Source organism: Homo sapiens, chromosome 11, assembly GCF_000001405.40.
Source record: "Homo sapiens chromosome 11, GRCh38.p14 Primary Assembly".
Lineage (NCBI taxonomy): Eukaryota > Metazoa > Chordata > Mammalia > Primates > Hominidae > Homo > Homo sapiens.
The window spans coordinates 87836526-87856775 of NC_000011.10; the positions used below are offsets into that span (position 1 = coordinate 87836526).

General features: G+C 36.1%; 1 protein-coding gene and 1 long non-coding RNA gene across 4 annotated transcripts in view, besides 1 other annotated feature; one reads left to right on the forward strand and one right to left on the reverse strand.

Moving 5' to 3' along the window:
• LOC107984361 (uncharacterized) overlaps positions 1-20250 on the forward strand; it is a 552293-nt gene that overhangs the window by 476773 nt on the left and 55270 nt on the right. Inside the window, exon 5 of one of the 2 annotated variants that reach the window (XR_002957260.2) lies at positions 15034-15084. The exons of the other annotated variant lie outside the window; for it this stretch is intronic. This is a non-coding gene — a long non-coding RNA (uncharacterized LOC107984361). The remainder of the gene's footprint in view (positions 1-15033; positions 15085-20250) is intronic. 2 annotated transcript variants of the gene reach the window in all.
• The window catches only part of RAB38 (RAB38, member RAS oncogene family), a 371729-nt gene that overhangs the window by 32811 nt on the left and 318668 nt on the right, over positions 1-20250 (reverse strand). The gene's annotated exons all lie outside the window — the stretch shown is intronic.
• Positions 3218-3719: an enhancer, noted in NCBI's record as "NANOG hESC enhancer chr11:87550635-87551136 (GRCh37/hg19 assembly coordinates)". NCBI's record gives its function as "activates a minimal SCP1, AML or CMV promoter by ChIP-STARR-seq in naive H9 embryonic stem cells {active_cell/tissue: H9 hESC(naive)}" and the evidence as "EXISTENCE:reporter gene assay evidence [ECO:0000049][PMID:30033119]".

The following is a 20250-nucleotide window of genomic DNA, read 5'->3' on the forward strand; positions in this document are numbered from 1 at the left end:
TCATCTCTCCCCAAAGTTACCACCACAAAATCTCAATTGTTTTCCTTGATTCCAGGGATCATTCCTCCAATCTCTTCTGCATACTCTAGCTAGAGTCTTCTATGTGCAGGTTGGTTCTGGAGAGCATTTAAATCCTTCACTGGTTTTCCATGGCCTTCAGGATAAAGCACAGGGATTTTGTGGCATAGTTTACTCAGTTCTTGACTATCTCTCTAGTCTTTGCCTCCTTCTGTGATCTTACCTCTTCTCTTTCCCCCAGTCCTACGCTCTGCTCTGGCCATAACACCAACATTAAATTTCTTTTTGTACTCATTGTCTCCAGGATTTTGTACTTTAAATTCCCACTGTCTGGAAGTTGTCACCCACTCTTTCTTCCTAGAACCCCCATTTTAATGAAAGGTTTTTATTTAGATGTCAGATCTCAGTGCCTCACTTACTAGGTGAATCACACTATGCAAATTACTTAGTCTTATGCTTCAGCTTTCTCATCTGTAAAATGGAGATATCAAGTAATCCTCTTCAGTGAGCCATTGTGCAGAATAACAGAGTTAAGTTTTATAAAATGCTTATAATAGCCAAGTGACCACTGTGAGCACTCAATAAATGGTAGTTATTACTATTTTGTAACGCCATTCTCTTTAAGATTTCCTTATTATACCACTCCTGAACTCAAAACTGAGTTTGGAATGCTTCCTATATACTTACATAGCTCCCTACATTTTCCCCATGTTAGCACATATATGTTGTTTAAAGTGTTGGGTGCTTGTGTGTGAGCTCCATGAGGGTACATCTGTATTCCTTATGTAAAGAACAATGTGGATACCTAATGCATTTTTTTAAATGAATGAGTTTCTTCTATTATCAGTTCTTCCAGAAGAGGCATCAAGTTTGATCTGTAATCTACTCTGGTAGGCAACATCTAGAGCTCTCGAATGTTTTTCTAAGCTTCTAGACCTTCATAAGCCATAAGTATTAAGCAAAAGATTAGAGAGATACAGCAGTGGTATGGTATAAGTGTCATAAACAATGGCTTAACTACTGGGCAAAATTAAACTAATGTTTACTGAGAATCAGTTTGGTGCTAGTCAATTATTATCACTCAGTCTTCACAAATATCAAATGAGTCAAGCATCATTTTGCTTATTTTATACATAGGCTATCTATGTAACTGATCTATGTAACTAAGGATCAAGCAAACTAAGGGACTTTTGCTCCAAGTCACACAGATAGTGTTCCTTTGCAGCTAATTCTTGACTAAAGTCTTTGCATTTTCCATCTTACCAGGATGGGTAGCCATTCACCTAAGGGAAAGGCAGTGATGACAAAATGAAATATTAAACATATATATAATAATATTTGAAGATTTTGTTGACATATAAGATTCCAAATTATTAGTTTCTTGTCTTCTTGTGAATTGATCTTTCTGAAAATTACCTGCTCTTAAGCAATCAGAGTTTAACTCTTAATAAGTTTTTAATAAATACTTGGTTACTCTTTCATGTGTGAATGTTGCTTAATACCTTGTGATACGTGTGCAGCACTTCCCAATAATACAGGAAGAAAGGCTTACATTCTTTTTTTATTTTTATTTTTATTTTTTTTTTTTTGAGATGGAGTCTCGCTCTGTCTCCCAGGTTGGAGTGCAGTGGCATGATCTCGGCTCACTGCAAGCTCTGACTCCTGGGTTCATGCCATTCTCCTGCCTCAACCTCCCGAGTAGCTGGGACTACAGGCGCCTGCCACCACGCCCAGCTAATTTTTTGTATTTTTAGTAGAGACGGAGTTTCACCGTGTTAGCCAGGATGGTCTCGATCTCCTGACCTCATGATCCGCCCACCTTGGCCTCCCAAAGTGCTGGGATTATAGGCGTGAGTCACTGTGCCTGGTCTACTTACATTCATTTTTATGCAACAACCAGCCTCAGGAATTAGCAGCTACTTTTTAACAGAAATCATTCTTAACTAATGAGTTCAGTCTTTCTCCAGTTGGTATTGAGGTGGTTTTGTGAGATCTGTCTCTTTTGGAGAGGGAATTATACCTAACAGTAATTGAGCTCTCTGGAGAAAGCTGGGTGGTCTTGTTGCCTTTATCAAGGAGAAGCATTCAGCTTGCACAAATCTTTTCTGGGATAAATAAAACGCCAGTGATGTGGGTGTATCTGAACCCCATGGTGGGCATTCGTCACTTCATATTTCTATGTTTTAATTCAAATCCTACACTGTGGAAACAACATATGACATCCTGAAATAGTTTTGCCAGCTCATCCTCTGTTAACTTTAAAAATATCTAACATTTACTGAATGCTTACTATGTGCTGACACTGTGTAAAACTCATTACTGTCATCATCTTACTTAATGCTCATAACAACCCTGGTGAATTTGAATGTATTCTCCATTTCACAGGTAACTTGTTCAAACTTCCTCAGCCAGTAAGAGGCATGGCTGAGAATCTAATCCAGGCTGTATCCCGCAAAGCCCATGTTCCTAATGACTATGCTATGTTACTTTAGTAAAGTGTGCTACTATCCATCGGACACAAGAGAAATGTTAGACTGGAGTAATTTTATCCTAGTCAGGAGCCTAGCGAAAGATCCTTTATTTAATGGTTTTTATACATTTTGCTGTTAGAAAGTAAACTCCTAGTGCTTTTATTGTCTCTACCTGTTGCTTATAAATGTGTTAATAGATTTTAGTCTTGTGTTCTTTGATCAGGGACCATCTTTTATACTTTATGGGTATCTCCAACTATGTAATACATTGCTTTGAAGTTGAAAACATACAATAATACTTTGTTAATTAAAGTAAATGACCAGAGATGTTGCAGAAAGTCAAGACTCAGACAGATAGTGGTCTACATGTGTCTGGGCTTTGACCTGTGTTTATCAAATGCACAGGAGTATACATAGGCTATATTTGGCTGCTTTCTAATTATAGGTCACCTGACTTTTCAGTTGTTCTTTTTCAGTGACATAGGATCAACAAATCAATCAAGCTGTGCTTCTTTAATTACAGTGTACCAAGACCAACTTGGGTAGAGTGAGCAAAATTACACGATTTAAGTTACTTTGTAACACATCAAAGAAAAAACCATCTATATTACATTTTTAACTGTCAATCTTATCAGCAGAAGTAGAAGTATTTTTATGTACTTGAGAAATAGCTGAAGAAACTCTCTTAATATGGTGTATTGGAAAAGCAATGAAGTAGAAGATAGAGATTTATCTGACTTGGATGCTAAGAAATTTAGAGAAAATTTCTCCAGCACCATCCATTCATATTAACTTACTGACAATTTGGATACCATAAACTGGACCAAACTCTGAGTATAATAAGAATTAACCTTCATTTGGCCAGTAAAGAGAAATCTTTGTCCTGCATATCAGTAGGTTTCTCTCAGGTTGATTGTGGCAATGTATGTGCTACTGGCCTCAAAAGTACAGAGGATGAAAACAAAAGAACAAGACTAGATCTCATTATGTAAACCAGTGAGCCCATGTAATGTCATTAGTGAAACTGGGCCTTAGGCAACAGGAAAATAATGCAAATTCTCTTACACAAAGAAGGCTCTATTTGTGGCTACTATTTGGTGGAAAGGAGAGAGAAAGGAGACATAGAAAAAGAAGAGAGGGAAGAGAAGTGATAACAAATGAAAGGAAGAGTTGGGAAGGTGTTGAAGTTACAAATGAAAATTAATGTCACTGCCAGATGGCTTACTGAAGTTTTTTGGCATTTGAGCTAGAGAAGAGAAATAAATCCCCTATTTGCTTCATGAAATTAAGAAACATGGGAAGTCATGATGGGTCTTGGATTTCAGAGTAAGCAAATAGTATAAAACTAAGGTGGCCAAGTGGTAACTAATTTGGCCTCTGGTTCTCTGAAAGTTGGCGATTGGATTTCGCTAAGTGATCATTCAAGAAAATGACCTCTCTACAAAGTCCAGTGGAATGTCGGACTACCTTTTCATCCAGGGTAACACAGGTCCTACACACATGGAATCAATAGCTCAGCATCCTAGTAGGAAAGTTTTTTTGCAACATTTTATTCTAATGCTAAACCAAGGTAGTATTTGTTATACTTTAACCCAGTGATATAAGTCTATTTTAAGAGTTTCTGTCTCATACTACTGAACTTTGTAAGAGTTCCCAAAGACAGAAATGTGTTGAAATGACATTACCATAAAAAGTAATGTAAAATTACTGATGAATATGGATGTTTCTAATTTGTAAGACATATAGAAATCTGACTTTTAGCTTTATAGACACACCTCTATATAGGGTGGTTCAAATTAAAGCACTACTCTTTGTATACATTTTCATTTTATTACACTTTATTATTTTTTTAACCCATATTAATAACATCTTTTGCCTGCTCACCAAGGAACAGCTGTAGAGCATAGTGATTAAAGTTCTCGTTACAGGTATTAAGCATGACAACTCTTGAAACCAGCCTGTCTAGGTCAAATCCAAATTCCATCATTCCTGGCCCCTTAGTCACTCTGAGCCTCATGTTCATTGCCTGTGAAATAGTAACAAAACAGTTGATTATCTTTTTGTTGTTCCTGTGAGGACTAAATGAGTTAATATTAAGTATTTAGAATAGTGCCTGGTACATATATTTTAAAAGTATCAGTGCTATGGTTTGGCTGTGTCCCCACCCAAATCTCACCTTGAATTGTAGTTCCCATAATTCTCATGTGTCATGAGAGGGACCCAGTGAGAAGTAATTTAATCATGAGGCGGTTACCCACATGCTGTTCTTATGATAGTGAGGGAGCTTTCACGAGATCTGATGGTTTCATGAGAGACTTTTTCCCCTTTGCTTGACACTTCATCTTCCTGCTGACATGTGAAGAAGGACATGTTTGCTTCCCCTTCTACCATGACTTAGCATGAGAATGGACTAATACAATCAGCTATCTTTACTATTGTGCTCAAGTGATTATATTTCATACTTAATCACTATAATTTCTGAAAGGTTCAGATTTTTGTCTCAATTTTATTTGCCTACCACTTATCTGCTGGTATCCCTTCCAGCAGAAGAGTGTGTATTCTCTGTTTATTACACATTTTCTTAATGAATTTTTCTGAGTTTGGATGTTTGTCTGAAGACCAGTCCACCCACACACCAGAAACAGTCTTGAGTTTCAGATATCTGTGCCTGTTTCTCAGAATGTACAACCTGATCTGGACGTGAAAAAACTCATTGTTTATAGGTGAACACATCTAGATACTTTGGAGGATAAAAAGGGGTGCTAACTGATTGGATATAAAGACAAGAAGTATAAACCAGAATATCTGGGCAACATGGGGTGTATAGTCACTCCACCTGTAGTTTACTCCTGTTTTCTGTTAAGGGACATTTGGAGAATATGAACATTTTGGAGTAGTTTTATATTCTCTGAGATTCACTTGGCTGAGTGTTATCTTTTTCTTCCTTTCTTTTATTTTCCTCTTCTTCTTGCTATTTTTTCTTCTATTTTTCTTCAAAACACTTTGTCACAGAAAGGGAAGGGTGTAAGATTCCGAGACTGAAAATGCAATTATCTTTGTATAACCTGACATTTTTGCCATCAAAGTAGAATTTGAGAAGTGTTATGGATGAATAAAGAAGAACATGTCAGAGAGGCTGCTTAGAAAAAGAAAAGGAAATTTTAGCAGCTTACTAGACCAGAATAAATAATGTGAAGGGAGAAGATGACATGGAAGGCCACAACACTAGTGAAGGTCAAGAATTTCCCTAGGGAAGAGACAATGGAGCATCATTAAGCTGTGTCACTGAGAGACAAAAGGATAAAGAAGAAAAAATAAGATTTTAAAATGTATGTGCTGAGTTTGGGAGGGGGGTTTCAGGAGACAAGTTGAAATTCTGGAGTCCAAGTAAAGTTCTGCAAATGGCTCCAAGGCCTACCTCATTTGATATCATCAAAAGCCTGAAGGTGCCTCTTGCGCAGTCGGAGAGGGGCCTTCGTTGTACTTGAGCATCTCAACAACTATTAATTAGTATCTGGGAAATTAATTTGTGCCATAAATACTTTTAAAATTGTGCTTATCCGGAATCTCTAATGATCTGTGAACTACACAAATAAATGTGCTCTTTAATCACCGCTTAACAAAAATTAACTTGTTTGTTATTTTCTACTTGATGTTTGCGTATTATCTCTATTTTAACCTGACTTTCCTGGAAAGACTACCTCAGAATACACAAGTGCACCTCACTAGCCAAAATAAATCCCCACCCCATGCGCACACATACACACATGCATGCGCATGCACACACACACACACGCGCGCGCACACACACACACACACACACACACACACAAATCCCTTTTTATAAAAAATGTTTGAGAAACAAAAAACATTTTTTATAAAAGATGTGAAATTTGTCTCAATGAGAAGTGCAGAATTGGCCAGGTTGGGCTTTGCAGCCATGGAAACAAGCTGTAGGGGAAAGCGTTGGCTGAAATAAGCAGAATGGGGACTCTAGTGAGGGGCTATATTAATTCAATCCCTCCCACAGGGTCTAGACATATTTTATTTTCTCAGCTCCCAGACTCATTCTTTAGACAGTTCTTTGGGCCCTGTTGAGAAGCACTGAGAGGTGGGCGCACAAACCATGTGTTGATGCACACGTTTTGTTTGCATCCGCTTATGTCTACCTCTCTGAATACCATGCTGGTCAGAGGTGAGATGAGCGTCTTTCAGTAGAAGCCTAGTCTACATATGTTCCAAACAGCCACAGCCTGCCACTTTTATCCTTATATAGACTTTTACTGGCTAATCTTCTGACAGAATTACTTTGGTTCCTTTTTTCTTCAGTTTTTCTTGTTGGAGGTTATGATGTGCAGGTTAAGTACTAAGAAGTTTTACATATCTGCCCAGATAATCAGGAACCATGTGTTAGTGTTGCTGCAGAGTTACCTATAAATTACTCAGAAGTTGAACATTCACTGTCTCTGCTACCTCACCAAGGCCAGGGGGTTGCACCTTAAGTGCTTCTAATTGACTAATATGTACATCAATACTTCATGCTAAGAAAAAGGAAGCACTATTCTTGGAATCAAAAGACCCGATTTGAAATCTCAGCTCCATAGCTTACTTATGAGATAATTTTGTATGTGTTACTTAAACACTTGAAGCCTAAATTTGCTTGTACAAGTAAAGTAACCTCTGTACTACTTTGCAAGGCTGTTGTGAGGATTAAATGAGAAAATATTTTAGTAACTGCAAAACATGATATGAAAATGAAGTATAGTTCTAAGCAAGGGTTCTAAGTCAAAGATTTATATGACTGAAAAAGAAAATCTATTATAGGGTTCTGGGTAATGTAAATTCTCTGTCTTTTCTCTCGTGAAATGTTCAATTTGTTATAAGTGACTCCTTCATTGCACTCACTGCCTTTTAACTTAAAAAACTAGACAATCCTGGAGATACTATCATGTTTTCAATTCATGTAGACTTTTGATAACATATTTCCTCATCTCTTAGTTTTAATCTACCTTGGATGCTTTAATTAACTATATTTTCTATTTTCTGCTCATGACCTTCATATAACGTCTCATCAGATTCAAAGCTACAGCTACTCCTTTGCGTTTTGCATTATGCTCTGTAGTTTAAAAAAACCAAACCTTTTCCCATGGGTTATTGTATTGGATCCCCAAAATAATCCTATGAAATAAATAGAGATTACTCTTTTTAAAATCTGCTTGTGTGAAAACTGAAACATACAAGGATAGTAATTCATTTAGAACTCAAGGTTTTTGTTTAACCCACGAGAATGCCATTATTTCAAGTTGTTTCAGGCATGCCTTAAGTATCTTCTTCGTATATATTGAAATCTCAGTATATGCCAGGCCTTATGCTAAGCAGTTGGCGCCATTACATAGAATTATTACAAGAACTTTATGACAGAGGAATCATTTTTCCTGCTGCAGTTGAGTAAATTGAGGCACAGATAGATTAATTTCCCTGAAGGTACTGAGCTAGATAGTAGGAGGTCTAAAACTTGCTTCTGGTTTGGTCTGATTCCAAAGTCTATACTACTAACCACTATGTTCTATTCCCTGTCTAATTTATCTCAGGTTTCTTACTTTTCTCAAAGTAGGCCTTATTAACTTTCTTTGGCCACTCTTGTCAATGAGCCTGCTACAACTCTGCATCTATAATGACTAATTTATAACCAAGTCCGAAGTAATAGTTCACTTTCACCCTAATCAATCTGACTTGTACATATGGGAAAACTTGAAGTTAATAGGCAAGCCTTAACATAAACCCCGAGCAAATATGCATGGGACAGACCCAAACCAACATTGTACAGGCCTACAAGACTGAACTGAGATTTGAATCACTAGCACAAGATTGAGCCTAACCTCTGAGACACACATGTGTGGGCACATTCAAACTAGCATAGCAAAGGTTTAGAAAACTAAAATCAGATCTGAATTACCTGTATATATCTCAACATAATTTCCAAATCATGCATATTTATAATAGTCATTATCAAGAATAACAATAATTTAGAGAACTGAACTGAAATTTGAACCATCATCCACAGAAAGTAAAATAGAATTTGTTGATTTCTTGCTAATACAAAAGTAACAACATCCTGCAGATTGTAATAGATAACAAAGTTTAAGATACAACCCAAAATTACTTGACATACAAAGAACCAGGCAAATGTAGCCCAACTCAAAGAAAATAAAAGCAAAAGATAGTAACACTAGGATGACACAGATGGAATAGGTCTTTCAAAAACTTTAAGGAAGCTATATTTAATTAGCTCCTTTATAAATTGTAAAAAATAAAACATCAAAAACAAAAGCCTCACACATGTGAGGTGAATTAGAAGATAAGAAAAACTCAACAAGAAATAAAAACAATAAAGAACTAAATTACAATTTTAGAACTGAAAATGCAACATCCAAAACAAAGAATGCACTGGATAGACTCAAAAGCAAAATGGATATGATAGTGAAAATAACAGGAGAGATATAAAAAATGACCAGCCTCTGGTACGTAGGGGATGATATCAAAGATTGAATACATGTGTATCTGAAGCTCCAAAAAAGGGGTGGGGTGGGAGAGATTGCTGTAGGAAAAAAATTCAACGTATATGGCTGAATGCTTTCAAGCTTTCATAAAAGTCTTACATTTATAAATTCAGAATGCTTGGTGAATCCTAAAAATAATAAACTCAAAGACAGCAACACTAGACACAGACAAACTGCTCAATTCAAACATAAAAAAAGGTCTTGAAAGCATTTAGAGAAAATGACATATTACTTATGGGAAGAAAACAATTAGACTGTTGATTTCTCATCAGAAACTGCCAAAGCCAAAGACTACATCTTTAAAGTACCGAAAGTCAAAAAATTCTTGCAAACCGTAATTCTATATCCAATGCAAATATCCTTCAGTATTGAAGGTGAGATAAAGAAATTTTGACATGATATAAAACTGAGAGCATGTGTCACTAACAGATATTTACTATAGGAACGATAAAAGAAATTCTAAGTAGACTGTGAAAAGTTAGGTGTATATATTGTAACCCCTAAAGAACCACTTAAATCAAATCAAAACACAAAGCCCTAAAAAGCCAGATAATAAATCAAAATGGAATACTAAAAGTATTCAAAGGAAAATCAGGAAGGGGAGGATATGCAAACAAAAACCAAAGAAGAGAAACAGAAAACAAGAGAATGGTAGGTCTAGATCCAACTATACCAATAATTACATAAAACGTTATTGGTTTCGTTACTCCAATTTACAGACAGAAATGAACAAAGTGGATAAAAACAAGACTTAACTATATGCTGCTACAAGAGCTAAACTTAATATATAAAGACACAAATAAGTTTAAAGTAAATGAATGGGGAGAATCGATATGAAAGACAAATAGTAAGCATAAGAAGGCTATTAGTGGCTATGCTAATATCACAGAAAATAAGCTTTAAGAAAAGTAAGATTACAAAGAATGCATTTTATAATAACAATAGAAATAATTCATTAGGAAAAGCTTTGCTATGCAGTACATAAATAAAAAATGTACAGAATTAAAGAAATACAATTTTTTTGTCATAGGAGATTTCAACAACTCTCAGTAATTGATAGACCAATGAGACAAAAAGTCAGTAAAGACAAAGAAGATCTCAATAATTATAATGAACTGCTTTAATTATATTTGTAGAGCAGTCTATCTAATGACTGAAGAATATATATTGGTCTCAAGTACATGAAATACATACACTGAGACTACAATCTGGAGTACAAAACAATGCAGTTAATTTTTTAAAATCTGAGTAAGACAAAGTGCATTCTCTCATCAGGGGAATTACATTAGAACCAAATAGCAGTAACTATAGAGTTAAACTTCATTTAAATAAAAATTGTACACATAAATAATTCATGGGTCAACGCCCAATTACAAGAAAATCTATAGAATATTTTAAACGAATAATTAAAATACAATATATCAAAATTTTTCTGAGTAGCTAAAGCACAGGTAAGTAGAAAACATAACTTCAAATGCATATATCAGGAAAAAAGAAAGATCTAAAGTTCATAATTTAAGGCCTATCCTAAGAAACTAGAAAAAGAATAACAAAGTAAGTAGAAGAAAGATTTTATAAAGAAAACCCAGAAATCATTGATATTGAAAAGAACAGATGGTAGAAGAAAGTAAGTAAAAATCTGTTTTTTAAAAAAATGAAAATTGGCAAACCTATGGCTAGAATATCATGAGTAAAAGAGAATACAAATCAACAGTATCAGTAATGAATGCTTAATGTGTAGGATTTGTTACAATAGACTCTATACATTAAAAGAACAAAGAATATTATAAACAACTTTGGACTAACAAATTTGATCCTTTACATGAAACAGATTTCTTAAGACATAACTTATAAAAATTTATACAAAATGAAAGAAAAAGCTGAATAGTCTTATGTAAATTAAATAAACTGAATCTGTTACCAAAATTCTCCCTCTCTTTCAAAACAAAACAAAATAACTCCTCTAGGCCTTGGGTTTCACTGTGGGGTTGGCATTGACTTCTATGAATATGCTTCCCTTGGGGACATCACTGCATGCTCCCTGTGTGGAGTGAGTAGGGGTGAGATGGTGGGAAGGTACACAGGAGACTGCAGCAGAACAAGACTCATGCACAGGATGCTTTGGTTTCATGACCAAAGACATTCTTCTTTCTTGTTATGACGATCAATTTAACGTCAGCAGCCACAAATCAAGCGGGAGAAAGGAAGAATCAAAGGACAGAAAGACGGGACATGTCCTTTCACCGACCCTCAATAAATAATGTCAGTGTCCTGGGCCAAACATGTCTATAGACCTTCCTGTAAGGAATATAATATGGGGCAGAATAAAAGAGCTAAGAGAATACAAACCTTGAAATTCTTAACTACAGGCCAACAATTACCAATTAAATAACTTTCCAAACATCAAGGTATACAATGAAAGTCTACTAGTAGAGTTTTATTCTATTAAACCATTCCCTAGTTGTGCCATATTATTTCTACATTTTTTAAAAGGGTAGCCAATTAATTCTCATTTACACCTACCTCTAGTTCTAATCTAACTTTGCTCCATTACCTTCCTACCTCATCCCTGATTTGCAGCTTTCAGAAAATTCTTTTACCATACAGGGAAATAAATCATCATCTATTAGCAAGCTCTTCAGAGAAACAGGTAGAGGATGTTCCAAAGGACAGCCAGCATCCAGTTTCCTCTGCCAGAAGTTTCTTAGTAACTCACAGCTTTGGACATTAAGCATATCCTTTCATGCTGGCTTGCAGTCTGTCTTTAACCCTTTCCCCCACCTTCCAGGTCTAATGATTTATAGTAAGAATGAAAGCATATTGTTCCTCCTCCTAAAATACTGGAAGTTGACATTCTGTCTTTCTTTGAGCAAATTAAGCTTAAGCCTAATTAAGTGATGTCTCAAAATAATCTGTTTGATAATTTATGATTTTATTTTTAACTTATTCTATTTCGCTCTCATTGGAAGTAACAAAATATGTTCACATGCCTGTATATTCCACAACAAAATCCAGCCAGTAAAAAGACCCAGTAAACACCAAATTTAAAGATGTCTTTCTTCTGTATTCTAGTAATGCCCAATACATAATAACATTTTGTGTTCATACAGCTTTGAAGTTCCTTATCTCTCTGAGCTGTCAGATAAACAGTAAAGCTTTCCAAAAGCACCAGCCCATCAGGTCCACACCTGAAAATTTTAAAAAGCTGAGACTTAATTAACAAATTAACTACCGGAAAATCAGTACATACATGAGGGAGAAAATTAGTTATTAATTTATTGCATTATAACATGTAATTATTAATTCTTTATTCACATAGTCACATATTAATGCCAACCCCAATGTGGCCACATTTTTAGTGTTTAGGTCCCATTTTATGCTAATAAAAATGGCCTTTTGTCCATAGCCTGCTTGTTACAAGACACATATTTTTCCCTCCCCAGGCTTAGTAATAAGTTCCAGATTCTCACAGGACTTACTTCAGTTGAAACAGTACTATGGATTCCTCCCAGCAAACCAAAGGGCCCTGATAAACATGACTTTCGCCACCATAGAGCGTTGTTTCTGAAATCAGAAGTTGGTACATTGGTACAAAACTTTGCACCACAGGAAGTGCTATAGCAGTAAGGGCACAATACCCCACTCATCTGACCCAAGTTTCTTGGGGTTTGTACCCAAGTTTGCCCAGGACAATGCTAGTTTATGCCTCTTTTTCTGGTTTCATTATTAATAGTCACCTTCCCTCATCCTTCTACTTTTAAACTGCTCTTCATCTGGGCTATGAGTTATGTGGTCGCCATATATAGAATTGGCAGCTGAGATCTGTTTGCTCAGCGCTGACTGCTCCATTCACAAGTACTCTGTATAAAAAGAGATTAGAGCTTTTGGTGGGTATCTTGTCACACAGACAGAACTGTTCCCTCAGGTCATGCCAATAGTGTCAGTGTGGCAGCATCAGAGAGACAGTTTCAGCATCAGTCACACCCTCTGTACCTCCCTAAAATAATACAGGTTTTGATGTTGAGCCTAGATATCTCACCCCTCCTTCCTGTGAATATCTTTGGGTGTTGTCCTTTTCTGCCAGCTGGACATAGTGTTTAATAACTTTAATCTTCAAAGGGAAATAATCATTGTTTTGCCATCTTTTCATCCAGAAACTTCCCTGAATAAAATTAATGAGTCAAGTAATAGGTAAGTGTCATAGAACTTGACTTGCAAACAAAATTTAACCTTGGGCTCCCACAGAGCAAAACAATGATCTTGTTTCTTGCCTTCTTGAACAATATATAGGTATTTTCTTTGACTTTTATAATTGAGGGATCATTATGATGAGCTCAAACTAGTTGTATTCTGGTTCAAGGAGGCTTGATCATATTTTAATCAGCAACAAAATTAGCAAGCAGCTTTTAAATGGCTGTTCTGTTAGCCTAATAATAATAATAATAAAAGTTATACCTTATGGGGCACTTCACTATAAGTACACATACTCTCTCACACGTGTCCACATACATACACACTCTACATTAAAATCTTGAAAAGTTAGCACAAAGACTCACTCAACCTATCAGTTTAGTTGTTTTGTCTGTAGAGGTACCAAGTCTTCATAAAATAACCATTACTAAAGTACCAAAACATTGATTCAACAAAATAATATCAGTTCTTCTGCAGCCTCTTCCCCAGGAACATCATTTTTTTCTAGAAATGAAAAAGGTCGTTCTTCTCTCTTCTTCTCCTTTTAACATACACACATATGTACACTTCATAACCTTAGAGGTTACAATTTGAAAACTAATCTTTCACTCCCTCATTCCCCTATAACTGACAGTGTTGCTTTTTGTAATACTTCCCACCTCCACAAATAATCAAAATCATTTTCCTTGTAAAGCAGAGAGCGTGTGTGTGTGTGTGCACGCGCATGCACTCTTATGTTTTGAGAGGTGGTGATGGGTACACAAAACCCTTTTGGGAACTACTCTCTTGTGTTGGCTCATGGTTTTATTCAGTTTTTTAGTCTTTATGTTGCTACTCAATATATTTTCGGCACAATATCTATACCTTCTTCGTCTTTTCTTCCCAAGTATATACACCCAAGACTGATTGAAGAATTAGCTTTTGGGGGGATCCAATCCCACAACACTGCCACACACACACACACACACACACACACACACATACACACACACCAGTATACATACAAAGAATGCCTCAGTCTGAGACCCATCAAAGTGTTAGAAGTTCTTTATATTTAATCTGAGGAATTTTAGCTTAGTGCTACACCTTTCTTTAACTCACTTACTTAGCAGATCCCATTGAATGGAAAATCAAAGTGCATGTCCTTTTCATTGACCAGTGTGGCAATTTATCAGTATTGTAAAATTCCAACATACACACAAAGACTGATTCAGCTATGACAGCCTGCATTTCATGGTTATGCCAATTAGCTTCAAGCCTGGGGGCGGTCCCCCGTTCCCCTCAGGGAGAGAGGCATTCACACAGAATGCTGTCCCTTGGCCTTCCCTTTGAAAAAAAGTATAGACAGTCTTTTACAGGAGTTACCTACACCTCCTTCAAATGAGTATAATAATTAGACACCTCTTACTGAGCCTGACTTTAGCATTTGTTACCCCAAAGGACATTTATTTGATAGCCTTTCTTCCCTGACCCCTTCCCCAACTAACTTGTAGACCCCTTAAAAACAGAAGCTGTGTCTGGTTCACTTCAGTATCTTCAGCATGTGACATGGCAGTTAATAAAAATGGATTGAACTGATTTCCACATCATAGAAGTCATACCACTTAAAATAAAAATGAGTCACAAGTTATTTTTTCCCCACCATTTTCAGAGCCTTTAGACTACTTAAAGGCAGTATTTAGAATGGCATTTCATGCCTAAACGAGTGGGAATGTTGAAAGATAAACTGTTTTCATTGCTGTTTGTTTGGTCTGAATCATCTGGGAAACATGCTAATTCTACTTTTTCCCCAGCTATTACCCCTGTATGCACACAAGTTGAACCTAACGGCATTAAAAGAAAAGGTAAGAAAAACAGATAGTATATAGCTGGGGAGGGAGGGTAGTTTCCACTTACTGAATTTTAAAAACTCATATGAGGTTGAAGTTGTTGTATCTCTTTGATCCTAAGATTAAACCCTGCCATGTGTAGCTTTGCAGAGAGCCTGGGTCTTTCTGGGAACTCTGCTACCTGGAAGTGGTTGGCTGAGCTCTGAAATTCACTGAAGTACCCTTGTAGGGGAGAAGAGGTTTTCCTAGACACTTTTAGGGTCTCTAGCTGGGTCTGAAAATCAAACTAACAAAAACAGATTAACAGGAGAAAAACATACAAATTTATTTAATAAGTCTTAGATGAGACAGGAAACTTCATAAGGAAATGAAGACCTAAAGAAACAGTTAAACTATATTTTTTATGCTAAGTTTGATGAAAAAGTGCACAGTCATGGAGAATTATAATTGGATAAAAATGTACAATGGAATGGTAATAAACTGGAGAGAACTTAGTAGGGTCTTTTTGTTCAGCTTCTTCTCTGTGTCCGTGTGTCTTTAGAGACAAGGATATTCCTTTCCTCTGGGTATAGAGAGAGCACCTGTCACATGAAGGTTTTATGACCTACTTCAGGGAAAGGTCAGAAAATTATTCTGAGGTTGTATGACCTACTCTATGGGAGAAGGTCAGAGGAAAGGTGAAAAGGATCTTTCTGCTTCGGCTGCTTCTCCAAATGCCAAGCTGTCAAGATTTTGGAGTAGTAAGTAGTACGTAAGTCCTGAACCCCATCAACCTTCTAGTCATTTCATTGTTCTTCCCGCTTCACAACTGACTGTTGAAAACATTATCAAAGTCACATTTCTTGCTGCAAAGACATTCTGTTTGAAAATATTGTGAGCAAAATATTCTTAAGAAAATGGTGTTTGTTTCTGGCCATAATGTATCTTTCTCGATACTGATCTAGTAAAAGGCCCCGAATTGAGAAATTAATGGCACACCACGGTTCAAATGCTAGGCAACAGATTCAAGTTTTAATAGTAAGTTTCAACATAACAATAAAATGTTATTTTCTCATCTCTGCATTAAGTATCATTTATATCTTCATCACAGGATTAAAACTGAATGACGCTAGAAATACGATGGTTTACATATCGAGACAGTAACCACTGAGGGCTAAGAGAACTAGTATACAACAACACAGAACACAATCTTGCTTTGCTTCCCTCTCCTTCTCCTGCCCTCATCTTTTCTCACCTCTTTTCAAATTCCCATGGGTGTCTCAGAATTGTTTCCTACATTATGAAAATAAGCCTTTTCTTTTGTCTAAAATCTTGACACTAGCTGAAACCCAGATCCTGGTGGCTTAACATCTATCTTGCATATGACTAAGCAAGACATATTTCACTACAAAATGGGATGCCTCCTAACAAAAATATATGTGATAATTGCTAGGGAAAATTTTAAAGTCTGAATCCTATTATAAATTATGTGTTATAGTTGTGATATCACAGATGGAGTAGAATGTCTATTTGGGTTAAAAGAGAGGATATGGTCAGCGACGTCTGGAAAGGTTTATGAAGTCCCTACAAAGCACGTGGCATTTCATTCAAGGCAGAAAGAACATGGGCCAATGAGTGAGTTATAGACAGAATGTTTGTATCCTCCAAATTTCAGCCCTAACTCCTAATATTATGGTATGTAGAGGTGGAGCCTTTGGGAGGCAATTAGGTTTAGATGAGTTCATGAGGGTGAGGCCTCCATGTTAAGATTAGTATTTTTATGAGAATAGGAAGAGGTAAGAGCTCTCTGTTTCTCCACCATGGGAGAACACAGTGAGAAGGTGGCTATCTGAAAGCCAGGAGGAAGGTCTTCAAAAGGAACTAAATGTGCTGGCGCCTTGGTCTTGAGGTTCCCAGTCCCTAGAACTGTGAGAAATGTCTATTGTTTAGGCTACACAGTCTATGGTACTTTGTTATGGGACAGCCCAAGCTGACAAATACAAGGTAGAAGCAGTGGAAAAAAATACTATGTTCTGGGAAGTGAAAGCTTAACTGGAGCAGATGTTTGTGATATGGCAGTAGTGGAAGATTGGGCTAAAGAGAAAACCAAAATTCTAATCTTCAGTTCAGAAAAGTCTTGAATTTGATAGAAATTCTGATGTATTCATTTTCTGTTGCCACTATGACAAATCACCATAAACTTAATAGTTTTAAATTACACAACTTTCTCTTACAGTTTTGTAGGCCAGAAATCTGACATGTTTCACCAGCTCATAATCAAGGTGTTGGCAAGGCTATATGTTTTTCTGGAGGGGCTAAAGGAAGATTTAATTCTGATTATTCAGCTACTGACCATCAGCTGAGGGTCTTTCCAGTTTCTAGAGGCCATCTGGGATTCATGTCCCTCTCCTCTATCTTCATAGCCAGCAATGACAGGTCTCGTTCTTCTATTGCATCTATCTAAAGGTTTATTTGTTAGATTGGGCCCACCTGGATGATCTAGGCTAAATATCCTATCTCCAAGTCCTCAACCTTAATCAATCACACCTGCAAAGGTTTTTGTTTTGTTTTGGTTTTTTTGCCATATAAGGTGATATATTCATAGGTTCTATGAGTAGGGCATGGACATCTTTAGACCACCATTCTGCCTGCCAAAGCTGGTAAATGAAGAATTTCTAGTGATGTGATATCAGATAAATTAGCTAATATTCTATACAATTTAACTAGAAATGTGGTATTCTATTAATATTTGAGCCTATTTTGTTAATTGTGCACACAAAGAATGAAGACTATGAGACTCTCCAAAAGTGTATAGATCTTTTTATTTCTCTTCTCATGTTCTCTTACATTCTCTTTTCCTTAGAACAAACTTAACATTTGGTAGTGAATAGGAAAATGATCCACTCTTAACACATAAAGATTTAGAATGTGGATTTTGAGAGAACTAAATATCTAGTAGGAAGTCATTTATGTTTCCTTTTAACCACAAGTAAAGACATGATAAATGAAATGTTTTCCTCCTAGAAACCAAAATTTAGAATTGGAGCTCTGTTCATAAAAATACATTTTTCTACCATGAAAAACACCAGAATTAATAAAAATGTTTAAAATAAAACATCTTTAAGAAAACATTTCTTAATTATGTAAAAACCAGACAGTGCAGAAAGCTATAGGGTAAATTTTATTCCGAAGACATTTCATGCATTTGGGGAAATATTTATGATTCCTTTTTCTTTTTTGAGATGGAGTCTGGCTCTGTGGCCCAGGCTGGAGTGCAGTGGTGTGATCTTGGCTCATTGCAAGCTCTGCCTCCCAGGTTCATGCCATTCTCCTGCCTCAGCCTCCCGAGTAGCTGGGACTACAGGTGCCCACCACCATGCCTGGCTAATTTTTTGTATTTTTTAGTAGAGATCGGGTTTCACTGTGTTAGCCAGGATGGTCTCGATCTCCTGACGTCGTGATCCACGTGCCTCGGCCTCCCAAAGTGCTGGGATTACAGGCATGAGCCACCGCGCCTGGCCTATTTATGATTCCTTAATACATGAGCCTATTGAAGTTGTGATGAAAGTTTCCCTCATTTTTTTCTAAGAAAATTTGTTTATTAGTAAGCTAAGGAAATTTATTTTCCTGCATTTCTCTGAGCAGTCAGATTTCTTAAGAATTAAAGTCAATGCTTTTCAAACTTTTCATGATTTGTTCAGTGTATATAAATGCTTCCATAGAGTCTTCAGATATCATACCCAGGAAAAAACATAGTTTCCATGGTGATCTCCTTTTCTTCAATAATCTCTTGCTCTTCCATTTCAACCAGACCCCTGTGGACCTCTATTGGCTTACTGAGGTTGTATATCAACTCAGAACAGTGGCGATGTAAGAATTATGGACAGTTGCAGGGGAATAAAAGACATTTTTTGGTCATTATATTGGAAGTTTTATTTAATCTAAATCATTGTTTCAAGTTGATCATTCTATTATTAAAGTTAGGTTGGAGAATAGAAAAAATACAGTGAAGTATAAAATCTAAAATATACTTTGCAAATAATGTTTCATAATTATTTTTAAGGATGATAAGATAAAAGAAATTACGTAAAGCTGTCTTATAGAATAAACACCTAATCTATGGCATACAAATCAGAATGAAAGGGTTAGAATTTAGTCTTTTCCTACATAAAAATATCCTATGCCTTCCAATTGTAAAATATTTTTGTATCATTTTTATATTAATCCTTTAAATAAACATAAATAATTCTGACAGTTCTCTCAGTTGATTAGGATAGCCTTGGTATTTTTTAAAAAGCTCTCTCTTTGTATTTGTTTGTGTATCTTTTTATGCTCCCTATACGGCAACATGTAATCTTGGGGGTACAACACTCACAGAACTTTCCAACATTTAGTTCGGTGTTCCTTAAACTTTTTTAAACTAATGGATTTCTTAAAAGTCACAATAATTTTGGAACACACCACAATTTACTAATTTCAAACTTAAAACAATTAAAGGTACATGTTGTGGTAAGGGATCATCTGTGGTAGAGACGGTGCTACAAATTCTCCAAATTTATATCATTTTCCTCCTGGACATATGGGAGGGTTATACGTCCTGATCTTTACAGATAAATTTGGAGCAATGAACTGCATTCTGACCAATGTAATTGAGTGGAAGCAGTGTGGTCCACTTCCATGACTGGCACATAAAACCATTTGAGTGATTCTCATATACTCTCTTCATACACTCTTACAAACTCTCTGTCCTATAGGAATCTTTTTTTAAAGATGGAGGCAACACAAGATGGAAAGATTCTGAGTCTCTGAGTAACTGTGTGGAGCACAATCCCAGCTAACGCACATTGGATTGTGACATGAGAAAAAGATAAATATTTATTAACGTAAGCCACAAAAATCTGTTCCTTATTGCAGCAACCAACCCTACTTATCTCAATACAATATTTTATATAGATTTTAGTATGTGAACATAACAAACACCAACAGTTTTAGATAAATGTATTATTAAAAAAAATTTCTTATCATTTCCCATCAAACCTGAGAATAGCAGAAATAATTCAAATTTATCATCAAGGTGCCTTGGTCCCACTAGAGCGTAGCTTGAGAACCACTGCTTCTTCTTCTTCTCCTCCTCCTTCTTCTTCTTTTTAATTTTAATTTTACTTTAAGTTCTGGGATACATGCGCAGAATGTGAACCAGTA